At 40.8% G+C, this 14,877-nt stretch overlaps 4 annotated features.

Annotated features, from left to right (window-relative positions):
• Positions 1,947 to 2,086: an enhancer, noted in NCBI's record as "active region_6744". NCBI's record gives its function as "activates an Ori minimal core promoter by ATAC-STARR-seq in GM12878 lymphoblastoid cells {active_cell/tissue: GM12878}" and the evidence as "EXISTENCE:reporter gene assay evidence [ECO:0000049][PMID:35858748]".
• Positions 3,388 to 3,477: an enhancer, noted in NCBI's record as "active region_6745". NCBI's record gives its function as "activates an Ori minimal core promoter by ATAC-STARR-seq in GM12878 lymphoblastoid cells {active_cell/tissue: GM12878}" and the evidence as "EXISTENCE:reporter gene assay evidence [ECO:0000049][PMID:35858748]".
• Positions 3,488 to 3,537: an enhancer, noted in NCBI's record as "active region_6746". NCBI's record gives its function as "activates an Ori minimal core promoter by ATAC-STARR-seq in GM12878 lymphoblastoid cells {active_cell/tissue: GM12878}" and the evidence as "EXISTENCE:reporter gene assay evidence [ECO:0000049][PMID:35858748]".
• Positions 12,475 to 12,724: an enhancer, noted in NCBI's record as "active region_6747". NCBI's record gives its function as "activates an Ori minimal core promoter by ATAC-STARR-seq in GM12878 lymphoblastoid cells {active_cell/tissue: GM12878}" and the evidence as "EXISTENCE:reporter gene assay evidence [ECO:0000049][PMID:35858748]".

Below are 14,877 nucleotides of genomic sequence, written 5' to 3' on the forward strand. Positions count from 1 at the left end.
TTGGACAAATTATATAAAAATATGAATCTTTGGCCAGGCATGGAGGCTCACGCCTGTAATCCCAACACTTTGGGAGGCCGAAGCGGTCGGATCACAGGGTCAGGAGTTCGAGACCAGCCTGGCCAATATGGTGAAACCCCGTCTCTACTAAAAATACAAAAATTAGCTGGATGTGGTGGCACATGCCTGTTGTCCCAGCTACTCAGGAGGCTGAGGCAGAAGAATCGCTTGAACCCGGGAGGCAGAGGTTGCAGTGAGCTGAGATCATGCCACTGAACTCCAGCCTGGGAGACAGAATGACACTCGGTCTCAAAAAAAAAAAAAAATTCTGAATCTTTGAATGTTATCGTATAGCTTTTTAAAAGACTAGATTAAGCTATGGATGTAAGCACCAATGCATTTTTTTAAAAGTATATTGGATGAATGAGTTAAAGTCTAAGTGAATTCAGCAAGTTTGTAACCCTTGAGCTCTTGTGAGCTCAATCTGCCCTCAATCATCTGAGAATGAACAAAACAGACTCAACCATTTTGTGTCATCCAGATGAATAGAAAGGGCCTGAATATATTCTTTTTTTATATTTTTTGTCATAGGCCCTAGCGTTTTCATCTGCTCAGTTTTTGAGTGTGCTTGTTAGGGCTTTAATGCTAAACTCAATGTAAGCTGGGTTTATGTAATTTAGTGGTTTCTAGACTTAGGCTTCCTAAATGTTCCATTAGACAAGAAGACAAAATATGAAACAAAATAACATCAAACTACCATTAACAATTAGCATTGTCAGAGTCAGTAAAAACTGTTTTGAAATAAAGCAGCTTTTCAGGCCAGTATTTGAGAACTAATGATAGAGTTTTTTTGTAGGCAATGAATGAAGTGTTGTGGAACAAATGTGGATTTGGACTTTCAAGACCAACTTGAACCAGAGTCTTGAATCTGCAACTTTACTAGCTGTGGCTTCTTTTTAATTGATTAACTTTCTTTTTCTGTAAAATGGGAATAATGATTCCTACCTCTTACAAGCGTTGTGGTAGGAGGTATTCCAAATGAGATAAATATGTGAAATCACTAAAACTTCCAGAATACATGGAAATAATATATGTCTGTATTGGCAAATTATGAGTGTAGTAATGAGGGATTTACATGGACACATTTACATTCTTTAGTTCAGACTCCCTTTGACGACACATAACAAACACACACAAGAATATTTGCCCTGTGTCCAGCACTCTTTTGAGAATTTCTCTCTTCTCCTCCTTCTGATATCCCAACCAACCAACCAGTAGGAATGTGCCCTAGAAACTATGTTTTACAGCTCAGTCCACATCTTTTCACCTTACAAATTACTTATTGTTAGTTTCTTGGGAAAGTAAAATTGAGATATTAAGATTCTATGAAATTGGTTGGTGGTATTGAAGACTGTGCTGCTGCTGCTGCTACTGCTCCAGAACTCTAGTGGAGATATTACAAATGGGAGCAGAAAAAGTGAGAAGGTGGTCTGTAGAGACAGAGCACAGCACAGAGGTAGAAAGGTTGAGATAAAGAAACAATGCAGTGAGAGAAGGAGAGAACACAGACATAGAAACAGAGACATAAAGGCACCAGACACGAGAGCAGAGATAATTTAATAAGGCCGTAGTTTCTCTTGGATTTCCAGTTCCTTCTTTTAGTCAATTCTGATATTTAGCACACTGCACTGCACCAGATATCTTGTCGCCTTCAAATAAAGTATTTTTCCCCCTTAAACATGCTAATTTGGGCTTGTATTATTTGCAATCAATAGAATTGAGAAAAACACTCTATGTCATATCTGAACTAGTATATCAGAATGGTTTTCTGCCATTGGTAACAGAGACCCAGCTCAATGGCTTAAACACACAAGGGTTTATCCTGTCACATTAACAAAAAAAAAAGTGCAGAGTAGCAGTCCGGGGTTGGAATAGGGTCCACAAAGTCATCTGGGGCCAGGCTTCATCTATCTTTCTCTTACATCACAAGTGACTTCTGTCTACAAGGCCCCTCATGGTCCACAATTGATTGTTTTTACAACAGCTTTCCAAAGAGCAGAAAGAAAAACAAGTAGAAGAGCTTGTACTTTCTTTTCTATTTATGTCACCTCTGCTTACATCTCACTAGCCAGATATAGACATATGGCCCCATCTACCTGCACAGAAATCTCAGAAATGTAATTTTTCAGCTTGGCCATTGCCCAGGGTTCTGTTACTAGGGAAGAAGGAGAGAATGATTATTGGGAAGTGAGTAGTGAGTAGCAAACTGTATCCTTTCAGATATATATATATAGCCTCCAATACTATCTGCAAGCCCTCAAAAGAAGGGCACTTACCTTGAGTATAAACGGTGGTCCCTAGTTATAAGACAACAACTCAACAATGAGTGTCTCTGTGTATATGTATGTATATATATATATATATATATATATATATATATATAAATGCATGGAAGAAGTTTTATTCATTTACTGTATATAGCTCAAAGCACATAATCCCTCGGCATGCATTCCTTTCAATAGGGTTCAGCTGTGGTTTCTATAAGACCAAAAGACAAGTTATTACCTCCACTAGATGAAATATAAAATGATAGTGAAGGGAATAGGAAAACTACATTTAAAAAATCCCTGTGTTGGGGTTGGGAGGAGGGAGAAAATCTATAGCTGTTACAGTTTCCCAGCAATGATCCAGTTCCGCAGCAATGACCCAGTTCTCCAGCAATGATCCAGTTCTTCAGGTTGGAAACAGCACACACATGAAAGGATTGTGGCAATGGGAAGTTTTCTTGCTGACCTAGCTGGCAGCCCACAGCTCTTGTCCCTGGGACAATTTCCCATGGCCATTGTCTCCCACAGCCTCTTATACTGGTTGCCCCAGGAGGTTCTTCTTTCTCCATTGTCTTTCACAACCACATCTGACATCACATTGGAGAGTATTTCTTTCCTTGGGGTTACCTGCCTTTAGCAGTCCCCTTCCAGGTGGCATATGTTTAGCGGCCTGGAAACTTAGGGATTTTTATAGTCACAAGCTATTTCAGGACAGGCTTGGGGTTTCATCAGCCGTAAAGTTCTCTCAAAAATTTAGTAGATTTTAATCCATGTGCTGTTAGTAAGTGTCTGTGCAGGTGACTGCGGTAAAATATCTTCTTTTGTTTTAAACCTGAAGACTTATTTCACCTACCAGCCTCCGTACTCTGTCCATCTGCAAGTCCTCAAAAGAAGGGCTGTTACCTTGAGTACAAACAGTGGTCTCTAGTGATAAGACAACAACCTAAATCCCACCTTGCCAGTGACCCACCACACTGGCCATCTCCTGCTAAGGGTGTTACCAGCTAGCCTGCTTTGGACTGAGGTGCAAACGCAGTTGACTTCCAACCCAACAAAACTCAAAATTATTGAATGTAGACATAAATTGCAGGCTTCAGGCAGAGTAGATCTACATGAATATCATGGCATTTCTTTTTATCTCTTCCATAGAGTGGCTGACTCTAGCCTGAGGGCAACTCTCACTTATAGAACAGGCAACACACACCAGCATATTGAGTTTTGCCAGTTGTCAGTACTAAAGCAACATGTCTCCTTTCAGGGAAAGTAGGAAATCAGATGTGTCACTTGTGATTCTGCTCAATGAGCTTCTTTCTTTTCCATTTTCTTGAAGCTCTAGACCTGCAGCTGCCATCAGCCCACATAGTGTATTGAGTCATCTGGAAACCAGACAGAACTTTCTTCCTCCCCACTGGTCAACTTGTCATGGAGAGCATGCAATAAATTTTTAGAAATGGGTTGAGGTAGAGCTGGTGGAAAAGGAGGGAGTGAGTTATCTGCTCAGCCACTTACCCAAGGAGGGCTTCCAGCTCTCCTTAAACCTGTGAGGTGGTGATTGCCCTGCTTGGCTTCATGGCCCACACCTCTGCTGTCCAATTCAGCAGCCAGTAACTAGGCACATGCGTCCCCTAAGCACTTGAACCTGGCTTGTCTAAATTGAGATGTGATGGAGGTATAAAATACACATTATACTTTAGACTCAGTACAAAAAATTGTAAAATAGCTCGATAATTATAATTGATTATTTTCACTTGGGAGATTTGATGAAGCTGAGAATTCTACTTACATTGTAATCCAGCAACCCACTGGATTCGTCTCTTCCACTGATATTTGGCTGCTAGAGATGAGATTCCTTGAAAGTAATCATTTAAATGCTATGGTTTATTACCATGACTTAAATAGAGAATTTATAGCTTTGTACCTGACATTGTTTTTAAAGTTTTTTAGTACAATTACAAGTGGCCAGCAGTTCTCTCACTTTCTCAAGAGTCATTCCAGTGCTGTGCTTTTCATGTCTTATGACCACTACTTGGTCCACCAAAACTTTGCCTTTAAGAAAGAGGCTAATACAAAAAGAAAACAATTCTGCTTTGCAGAAATATTTATGGATTATTATGCCATAACAGAGAGTAAATGCTTGGGTAAGGAACACCAATATGTCAAAATGAGCTAAGGTTTGGAAAGAGGTTATCTGGAGAAATATTTACTTTTTTAGACAAAAAGTTTCAAGATATTGTCATTCAATTTAAAATATGTAATAGGTATGGAAATTAGGGGAATCCTCTAAGCAACTCTGCAAGTTGTGCAAACTTTTAGCTCTATTTCCTATGAAACAAAGGGATTGGACTAGATGATGACCAAGATTCCCTTCCGTTCTGTCTTTGAATTATGACATTTGGGTTAAATACTGCAGGAGTGTGTGTGTGCAAAATCCTCTTGAACAAATTCCCTAAACAGTCCAAAACTCATAAGGAGTTGCTTGCATTTGGTTCCTGTCTTTTAAGTCTTAATGGACACTAGAACACACCAGCTTTCTATTCTCAGTCATAACATAGCTATAAATAGAAAAAGTGCTACAGGCTTATCACTCAGAGTCTCTGCTGGCAGTGACAGCTTTGTGGAAACAGAAGGCATTAAAATACTAGCCAAAGGCAAATTCTTTGTTGAGATTCTTGATCAGGTTCTAGAGCAACATTCCTGGGAACAACACCATTCCCAACATCTTCCATGATTTTAGCAGATTCCATTATCTGAGATGATATCCCTTTTGCTTTCTTTCTTTTCTTTCTCCCTACATTCATAGTCAAATGCAATTTTGAAAATCTAAGTCATCATCTGAGGGCCTGAAATTATAATAGTCTCATTATCTTTTATTCAAAAGGGTAGAGGTTACTGTTATTGTTGCTTTAATCAATATGGAGAACTAGCAACTACAACATTAGCTGTGGGCGGGGCGTGGTGGCTCACACCTGTAATCCCAGAACTTCGGGAGGCCAAGGTGGACAGATGGCTCGAGCTTAGGAGTTCAGGACCAGCCTGGGTAACATGAAGAGACCCCCTCTCTACAAAACATACAAAAATTAGCAGGGTGTATTGGCACACGCCTAGAGTTCTAGCTCCTCAGGAAGCTGAGATGGGAGGATGGTTTGACCCTGGGAAGTCAAGGCTACAGTGAGCCGAGATCACACCACTGCACTCCAGCCTGGGTAACAGAGCAAGACTCTGTCTCAAAAAAAAAAAAAAAAAAATTAGCTATAGTCAAAATCCACATTTCATTATGATTGGATTTCAATCTAACTCTGCTTTTGGAAGGAAACGAAGGAAAAAAACACAACTTTTCCTCTCTACTTATGTCCCACTCAAAACAACTGGGATGGGAATGAGTTTGTTTGAAGGCCATGCCTATATTCTTATGGGGTTGAATAAGCCAGGCAAAATATAAACCACAGCCAATGACCAGATTTTCTTTTCCTCGTTCCTTATACAGGAAGGGAGTCATTATTAAAAGTAGCGTAACAACTAGGCTAAGACCATTATAACTCTTGGATAAAACACCATCGGAAATGTAGAGCCAAGAAAAGATAAAGTTTTTATTTTATTCATCATCAGAAAAATCACTTTGGTGGAACAGAACACTGAAAATCAGTGGTTCTAAGTGTGATCTGGTATCACAGTCTCCAAGGGGGCTTGTTAAAACACAGGCTGCTGGGGCTTAACTCCAGCATTTCTGATTTCTCAAGGTGGGGTGGGGTCCAAGAATTTTTATTTCTCACAGGTCTACAGGTGGTACTGATACTGTTGGTTTGGGGAACCTCACTTTGAGAATAATTCCTTTAAGGTATCATCATAACAAAGAATGTGAGTGCTCTACTTGATCAGTTCAATGTCTGAACCTGAGCTGTTTAGGAGGGCAAGAGGATCAATTTGCAATCAAACTCTAGATTACACCCATATTCTATCCACCTTCTAGCTCTCCTGCTTTTGGGGGTGGAGGGGAATGCTGACAAGGTTGAGATGCAAGAGACACTGTTTCAAGCAATTATAAATGCATGCAACTTGCTTATCATCCTTTTGGAGGAGATGGGCTTGAAGTCAGATTCTCCTCAGCAGTCTTCATTGAAAAAGAGTCAGAAACTACATGATTTTCTTCTAACTTCCACACTCACAGAAATATTAGTTTTGTTTCTCTTCCCATTAGTGGTTTCTAAGAATCATCAGCAGAAACCCCTCAAGGAATCAGGTAGTGGCACTAATTAGGCTGAGTCATAATACTAAGGTGAAGCCACACAGGGCAGTTTCTGGCCCAGAATAAAAACGTCTCTGAGTTATAAGAATATGACAGTGATTCAGTTGTCATTCCTGTGTGCCTACCATGTTCCTAGCATATAACATACTAATGCATCTTGCACAGGGCCTTGTTATATATCAGGTTCTTAATAAAGACTGAATGAATGGATGAGTGAGGGAATGAATGAATGTAAAAAAATCAGTACTACAATGTCTTGTATGTGGTGTCACACCAGCCCAGTGAACTTGCTGAGTTGAAGTCTATACCTTAGCAATATTTACCTCAACTTCTGTGCTTTACATTAGCATCAGCATTTTGTGAGGAAAGTATAAATTGTGATGTCTGCTCCGTTCACAGGAATGCTTCCAATGGCGACCTCCAATTCATTTAGTAAATTTCAGTCTTCTTGGTCACAGAGTGGGCAAGACCAATCAGAATATCCCATTTTCCTGTCCACAGTGATGGATCCAAGAGGCAGTCAGATGACCTAAGGAAGGCCAGTAATAGTCTTCCCTGGGATATTTTACATTGAAATTTCTTTTTTCTTTTCTTTCTTTAAAAAAAAAAAAAAACAGCAGGGTTTCACTCCCATCACCCAGGCTGGAGTGCAATGGCACAATATTGGCTCACTGCACCCTCCTAGGCTCAAGCGATCCTCCTGCCTCAGCCTCCTGAGTAGCTGGGACTACAGGCGCCCACCACCACAGCCAGCTAATTTTTGTAATTTTAGTAGAGGCAGGGTTTCACCATGTTAGCCAGGCTGGTCTTGAACTCCTAACCTCAAGTGATCCACCTGCCTCAGCCTCCCAAAGTGCTGGGATTACAGGCATGAATTTCCGTGCCTGGGCTTACATTGATATTTCAAAGGAGATATTGCTTTTTCTTTCTTGTCATATTGCTTTTAGGCTGTCACCTGGGCAGATGCCAACTGGGTAAATAGATATGTAAGTCGGGAGTTAAAAAGAGAGAGAAAGGTTGAGGCAAAAAGTAAAAATTTATGAGTGTGCTGAGAGACTTATCCCTAAGCCTACTTGCTTCTTTTCCTGGGTTCACATCTAGATTAAAGTTTCCAGCCACCCTTGCAATTTAAATCTGGTCATATGACCAAATTCTAGCCAGTATTATATGAGCGAAAGTGATGGATGCCATTCTCTGGCCCATAAAAATCTCTTGTGCCTGATCCTTTCACTTTTCACTCACTTGTTACAATCAAATATGACAACCTTGAAAGCTATGTGTCGAAAACAGCAGAACTAAAAAATAGAAAGAGCCTACATCTCCCCATTGAGAGGGTTGTTGACTAATCAAGAACATTCAGTTTGGACTTCATATCAGCTGGAAATGAGTCTATCATGCTTAATCATTATATATTTTTGAATTTGTTATATCAGGTAGCATTATTTTAACTAGTAAAGGAATTAGGGTATAAATGCCATTTAAAGCATGAGGTTATATGACATCTCCTAGGGAGAGGAGTTAGATAGGGAAGAGAAATGATATGAAGACTGAGCCCTGAGTCACTTCAACATTTAAAAATTAGGAAAAAGAAGGAAATTGGCAAAGGAGTCTGAGAAGGACTATCTAAGTGGGTGGGAGAAAATCAAGGGGACTGTGATGTTCTTGTAATAACATGAAGAAAAATGTCAGAGAAGGAAGGAGTAATGTGCTATATTTAGTCCCTGAGATGCTTTGTTTCCGCACGTTTTTTCAATTTTATGAGCTGCTTCAGTATTCTTCCAATACATTTCCTGTTTTTTTAAAAAAAGTAATTTGTGTTAGAGTTTTGTCAACCAAGAGTCGTTGACTGTGGTAGGCACCCTCTAAGATGGCCCCCAGGGACTTCTGCCTACTGGTATTCATGTCCTTGATAATCTCCTCCTGCCTTGAGTATGGACTGAACTGACCGATGTACTTCTAATCAATAGATTGTCACAGAAGCAATGGGATGTCACTTCTGATATTAGGTGAAAAGAAAATTGTGACTCCCACCATTGGTGCACTCGCACATGCACTCTCTTGGATCATTTCATCCTGAGGAAAGCCATTGCTAGGGTGTGAGATTGTGTAGAGGCCCATGTGGCAATGGACTGAGAACTTCCAATACCATGTGAATGAGCTTGAAATGGATCTCCCATCCTGGCTGAACCTTTGGATGAGACATCTATCCCAGACTACATCTTATGAGTGAAACCTCATAAAAGATCTTGAGCCAAAACCACCAGTGAAGCCACGTTCAGGTTTTTTATCTACAGAAACAGTGAGATAAGTTATTTTTAGCCATTAAATTTTGAGGGTAATTTGTTATGAAGCAATAGAAAACTAATGCATTCATTAACATGCTTGATGGGTACAGAGATAAACATTTTCATTACTTATAATGAAGTAGTGAACAGCCTAAGAATATTTGCTTATTTGTTCTATTTGTTCAACCAATATTTTTAGACATTTACTCTAAACCAGCATTGTTTTAGACATCGGAGATATCAAAGTGACTGATACAGATCAAGTATGAGTAAGAAGATAATTTAAGATAAGGGTAGGTCTTAGCAAGAAAATAAAAAGAATGGCATGATATAGAATTAGGCTTCTTTTTTGAGAGGTCAGGGGAAGCAGGGCTTCCTGAGAAAAGGTATTTGTGCTAAGAAGTAAATGAAGGAATGGACAGCCATGAAAACAGCAGTGGACAGAGATTTCCAAGAGAGAAAATGGTAAATGTGACACCCTGGGGTAGAAATGAAGCTACCATGTTTGAGAAGCAGAAAAAAGCTAGTATCGCTACTGTGTGAGGAGCAAAGGGAAGAGTGATCAGACATGTGGCTGCAGAGGGTAGACCTTGTAAGACAAGGAAGGATATGAAGTTTGGATTTTATTCTAAAAAACTTACATTCAAATGATGAACATTAGCACAGAGACAAGACAATTTTGGAGATGGCTTCTTTGAGAGCAATTAACTGAGAGTGTGTGATAGAGTAATGAAGATGCTAGGGCTGCCAATCTGGATAGATTGGTTGACAGTTGGGGATTGCAGGGGGGCTATAGGAGAACATGGTCCTGATGGATTTTTTAAAAAACAGAAATATAAAAATCTTGGGGAATGAGGTATTCCTGGGAGGAACACATGCAAAACCTCTGAGGCAGGCATGAGTTTGGATTCTTTAAAAAACTGAAAGATGACCAATAGGTCTGGAGCACAGTGAGCAAGACAGAGAGCTATAGGATGAGGCTGAAGAGGAATTCAGCCCACACTCTGCAGGTCTTGTAAAGCATGGTTAAGAGCTTGGATTTGGTTTGAAAAGCATCTGGAGTCTATTGAAGAATTAAAGTACAGAAATGATATTTTATTTTCCTTATGCTCAAAACACAATGAAATTGAATCAAATACATAGTAATTTATTGAACAGCTCCTAAACTGTGTGCATGGGAATTAAAGAGGCAAGAGATGTACCCTGGTGTTGAGTGGGCACATAGGCCACAAGTGGAAATAGATAGGGGCTCAAAAATCCACATATGCGAGAGTCCAGAAGAGAAATGAATCCATTTATTCCATGAGAGTAATGGCAAGACTAGAGAAGAGAAGACTTTCAACCTGGATCTCACAGGATGAGTGGAGCTCCCTAGGTAGACAAAGAAAGAAGAACCTCATAGAGAGTAGAAATATATGTAAGAGCATGGAATATTTGGCAGGGCTTGCACTATCCAGGGAGTGGGAAACAAGTTAATATTACTGAGTCCATGGAGAAAAAGTGAGAGGAGAGAAATAAAGCTTCAGATGTAGGTCAAGACTTTCAAATATTTAGCTTGGAGAGGGTCTTTTAAGGCTTAATATCAAGAATTGCCACTCATTGTTCCATCATAAACTTGTATTGAGAAACTACTATGTTCCATGCATTCTTTATCATGTGATCACATTTATGATTCACCTAAAAACCACATTTTAGATACAAAATTTGAAGCTTCTAAAGGCAAGTTACTATGCCTAAAGATGCACAGCTAGCAGGTGGCAAGCTGTGAAATCAAACTTGTATTCACTCTCTAAAGGATGTGTTTAGAGAGACTGAGTGGAACTTTATGGTTGGTGAAGGGTTCACATGTAGTAGTAGAGAGAGAAATCACTGAGGGTAGGTTGACTCCAAAGGTAGGTTGGAATCAGATTGAGGAAGGTTACTTTGAATATGAAGCTAAGGAGTTTGTACTAAATCTTGAGATAATAGGAATAAAGATTTTTGAGCAAAGAGTTGACATGATTGCAGTCTTGTTGGGAAGATTTATGAGGTGTCTGTTTACATCAATGTGAATTACCAGGGAAGAGACCAAAGGAAGAAGGGCCTATCAAGAAGCTAGCTCAGGCATATGATGATAGGAGTCTAAACTGAGTGGTGACAACAAAAATGGAAAGAAAGAGAGGAATGAGAGTAATTCCTCCAGGAACGAGTCATTAGGGTTTGGTGACTAGATTAATATAGGCATACGGAAGGTGAGGTTATGAAGAGTAAGTCTAAATAATTATAAGAATGGTGCTACAATATGGCCAGGCGCAGTGTCTCATACCTGTAATCCCAGCACATTGGGAGGCTGAGGTGGGTGGATCACGAGGTCAGGAGTTTGAGACCATCCTGGCCAACATGGTGAAACCCATCTCTATTAAAAATACAAAAATTAGCTGGGCGTGGTGGCACGTGCCTGTAACCCAGCTACTCAGGAGGCTGAGGCAGGAGAATCGCAGGAACCTGGGAGGCAGAGGTTGCAGTGAGCCGAGATCACACCATTGCACTGCAGCCTGGTGACAGTGCAAGACTCCATCTCAAAAAAAAAAAAAAAGGTGCTACAATAAACAGAATAGGGAAGTCAGCAGAAGGACCGAGTTTGAGTGAAGTGAGTAAGATGAAAGAAGATGAATATCAATCATATAAGTTGGATTAGAGGTAACAACATTGAAAGTGAATGTGTAGCTAGAGAGCAGAAGGGGCCTTAGCCAAAAATAATGATTTGAGGTTCATCTGCATAGAGGCAATAGGCAATTAAAATCCTGAGTGGTGGAATCCCACCACTTTGGGAGACTGAGGCAGGAGGATCACTTGAGCCCAGGAGTTCAAGGCCAGCCTGGGCAACATAGTGAAACCCTGACTCTGCAAAAAATGAAAAAAAATTAGCCAGGTATGGTGGCATGTGCCTATAGTCCCAGCTACTTGGGAGACTAAGGCAGGAGGATTGTTTGAGTCCAGAAGGTCAAGGCTACAACAAGCTGTGAATGCACCACCGCATTCCAGCCTGAGTGACAGAGTAAGATCCTGTCTCAAAAAATAAAGTAAAAAAATTAATTAATTAAAAAAAATAAAATATTGAGAGTTTGTAAGTTTCTAAAGAAGGACACAAAAGAGCAGTGTTACAGATGCTACTTGTTTCCAACATCCATTCCCCATCTTGACCTCCCTAACCAAATTCCCATTTGGTTCAGCTATACCCCACCTCCCTTCAGCCATGTGCTTCCCTCAAAGGTGTTTCCAGATACAGAGAGTGGATCCTGAGCAATCTAAGCCAACAGTGGTCCATCCCATCTCTCTCAGGAATGTGCACAGGACACAAAACTAGGTAATGAGACAGAAGTAAAGAGCCTAAGGAGGCAGATGGCTCCCCTGTGCCCCTGGACATTGTCCTATTTCTGTCCTAACTCAAAACCTGGAACTGCTATGCCATCCTCCGCCTCTGAGAGTCAGGCTTCATTGAGCAAAATCATCCCTTGATACAATGAGGAACCATGTCTCTGAAATTACTCAAGAACAACCAAACCTCTGAAATCAGTTTCAAACATCTAAAAACCAGTGAAACACAAAAAAGCCTTAGTCAGAAGCTAAGGAAGACAAAAAAAAAAAAAAATTAAGTTAGGTTCTAAACCAGGTGTCAGGAAAGTGAAAAGAAGCTGGAGATTTTGACAGAGCTTAGGACATGCTGGGGTGAAATACCCAAACAGAGATAAAGTGAACGAGACCTAGGAGACAACATTTGGAGGCAATAATCTTTTCTGACCAGCAAATTCAAAGAGCTGCTCTTCACGGGATTCCTGAGGTGATTCTAGGGACAGCAAAAGGTTATTTCTGAACTATTACACACATTCTCTTTTTTAAGAGAAATACTCACATCGACAGGGCAAGTCATTCCAAAACCAGCCTCGATACAGCTATTACTCAGATTCACCTTGTCAGTATGAAAATATGGGTTGAAATGGACTTTGCTACTTGAAATTAAGTGTGATCACACTCAGTAGCCAAGAGAAGCACTCCAATCCAAACTGCAATTATGAGAGGCTGGGAGCCACAGGGAGTGGGGTGTAGCATTCAGAAAAAGAGAAGGGGTTCATTCTCTGGGATTTTCCCTGTTTGCAGCCTGAATCCCACATGAATGTTCTTTCTCTTCCGTCATTCGTTTTTCCTGCGTTCAGCATCCTCTTCTCACTTCTCCCTCACAGTTATCTCTCCCTTGGAGAGAGTAATCTGGACCCTTGGGTGACAGTCATATGTGGCTTTCACGAGCTGCTGGAATTAACTAAAACTCACTCTTTCCCAATAAATCTCCCCTGAGCCGACACACAGCAGCTGCGAATTCCCAGCATGGGCCTGGACAAAATGCTAAGAAAAACTGGCTGTGTTCCTGAATCTTGCTCGTCATTGGTCCCCAAGAATCCTGGACATTGACACCCAGATATTCCAAAACGATTTGTGCTTTTCCAAGCTCGGCTCTTTACTTAACCTGCCTTGAAGATTTGGCACTATAATTTCCCAGAAGTGCAGGCTGGGCTTGTTTTGAGAAAAGGTGAAATGGACAAGAGACAGAGTTCAGAAAATAGTGATTAAATACAAACAGCACCAGCTATTAAGCAAGAGTCAAGGCCAGGAAATGCAAATAAAATTGCCGAGGGTTGTTTAGACAGTGGCCACTCAGAAGGAGAGGTAATATTTGGTTGTAAAGTGAGGCCACAGACATCTTTTCTGATTTAATGAATTTGTGATAGTTTACTTCTTTTCCCAGCTTTCATTTCATTTGTGGGGCGATGGCTGGGGGATGTAGGGGATATGGAAAGTTGAGCACAAGTGCACGAAGTATTTACTGGCTAAAGATGCCTATGCTTCTGCCAAGATTGTGTTTATTTGTTAAAAATATACTTCATTGTGTTGTTACAAAACTAAATCTGTCCCCAGCCCCCATGGAGACAGGGCGATTTGGTTTCAGGGTGAGGTGCCAGCTAGTGCTTTCAGGGGCATTAATGTGCCAGCTGCTCCTCCAGTATTCATTTTATTTGCAGTCCCTAGGCTGGTTTTACACTTTGTGTTTTTTTGTAAGGAAATCAGGATTAGAGAGCCTTTTGTCACTGATGGGGAGGGGGAGAGAAGTATCCCCTTTGAGCTCCATACACAGGGGCAGCCTAACGGGCAAGGCTCAAAGCTTTGATTTACTTCTCATTCGCTAACATTTTCAAAAAGAAAGGATCCACCGCGTCAAGCTGTTCTGTTGGAAGCTTGTAAGGCAGTAGATTTGGGAACTGGAGTTTCCAGAATGCAATCTGCAGCCACCAGGCCAGGGTTACCTTTAAGCTCCATGCAGATTAAACATGCCCAGCCTGGGCAAGAGGCATCTGTAGAAAGGAACCCCTCAATATCAAACAGCGAAAGGCATTATTGGGTGGTCCCTGTTTAAGGGCTGAAGAGAGTGAGTGGATTCCTATTGATTTTTATGAAGTTAATTCTTTTTACCCACTTAGAAATGCCAAACTGCTACTAGGGTCCAAAGTCCCTTCACTGGCCAGCTCGTCCCAGTGCAGTGACCAGTGACCTGCTGGAACCACTCCAGCGAGAGTCTCCTCTGCTGAACAAATCACCCAGCCTCCAAAAGAAAGAAGAAGCTGCTTTTAGTGAGCAACTCCTCTTAAAATGGAATTGCTAAACACACACTCACGCATACACACACACGTACACACATCATCATGCAATTTTTTGGTGGATGTTTGTGACAGGAAGAAATTACTAACAAAATTTCCCCAATAATACTTCCCTCTTTATTTTATTATTATTATTATTATTATTATTTTGAGACAGAGTCCTGCTCTGTCACCTGGGCTGGAGTGCAGTGGCAGAATCACAGCTCACTGCAACCTCTGCCTCCCAAGCTCAAGTGATCCTCCCACCTCGGCCTCCCAACTGGCTGGGACTACAAGCACACATCACCATGCCCAGCTAATTTTTGTGTTTTTTGTAGAGGTGAGGTTTCAGTGTG

Source organism: Homo sapiens, chromosome 12 (assembly GCF_000001405.40).
Source record: "Homo sapiens chromosome 12, GRCh38.p14 Primary Assembly".
Lineage (NCBI taxonomy): Eukaryota > Metazoa > Chordata > Mammalia > Primates > Hominidae > Homo > Homo sapiens.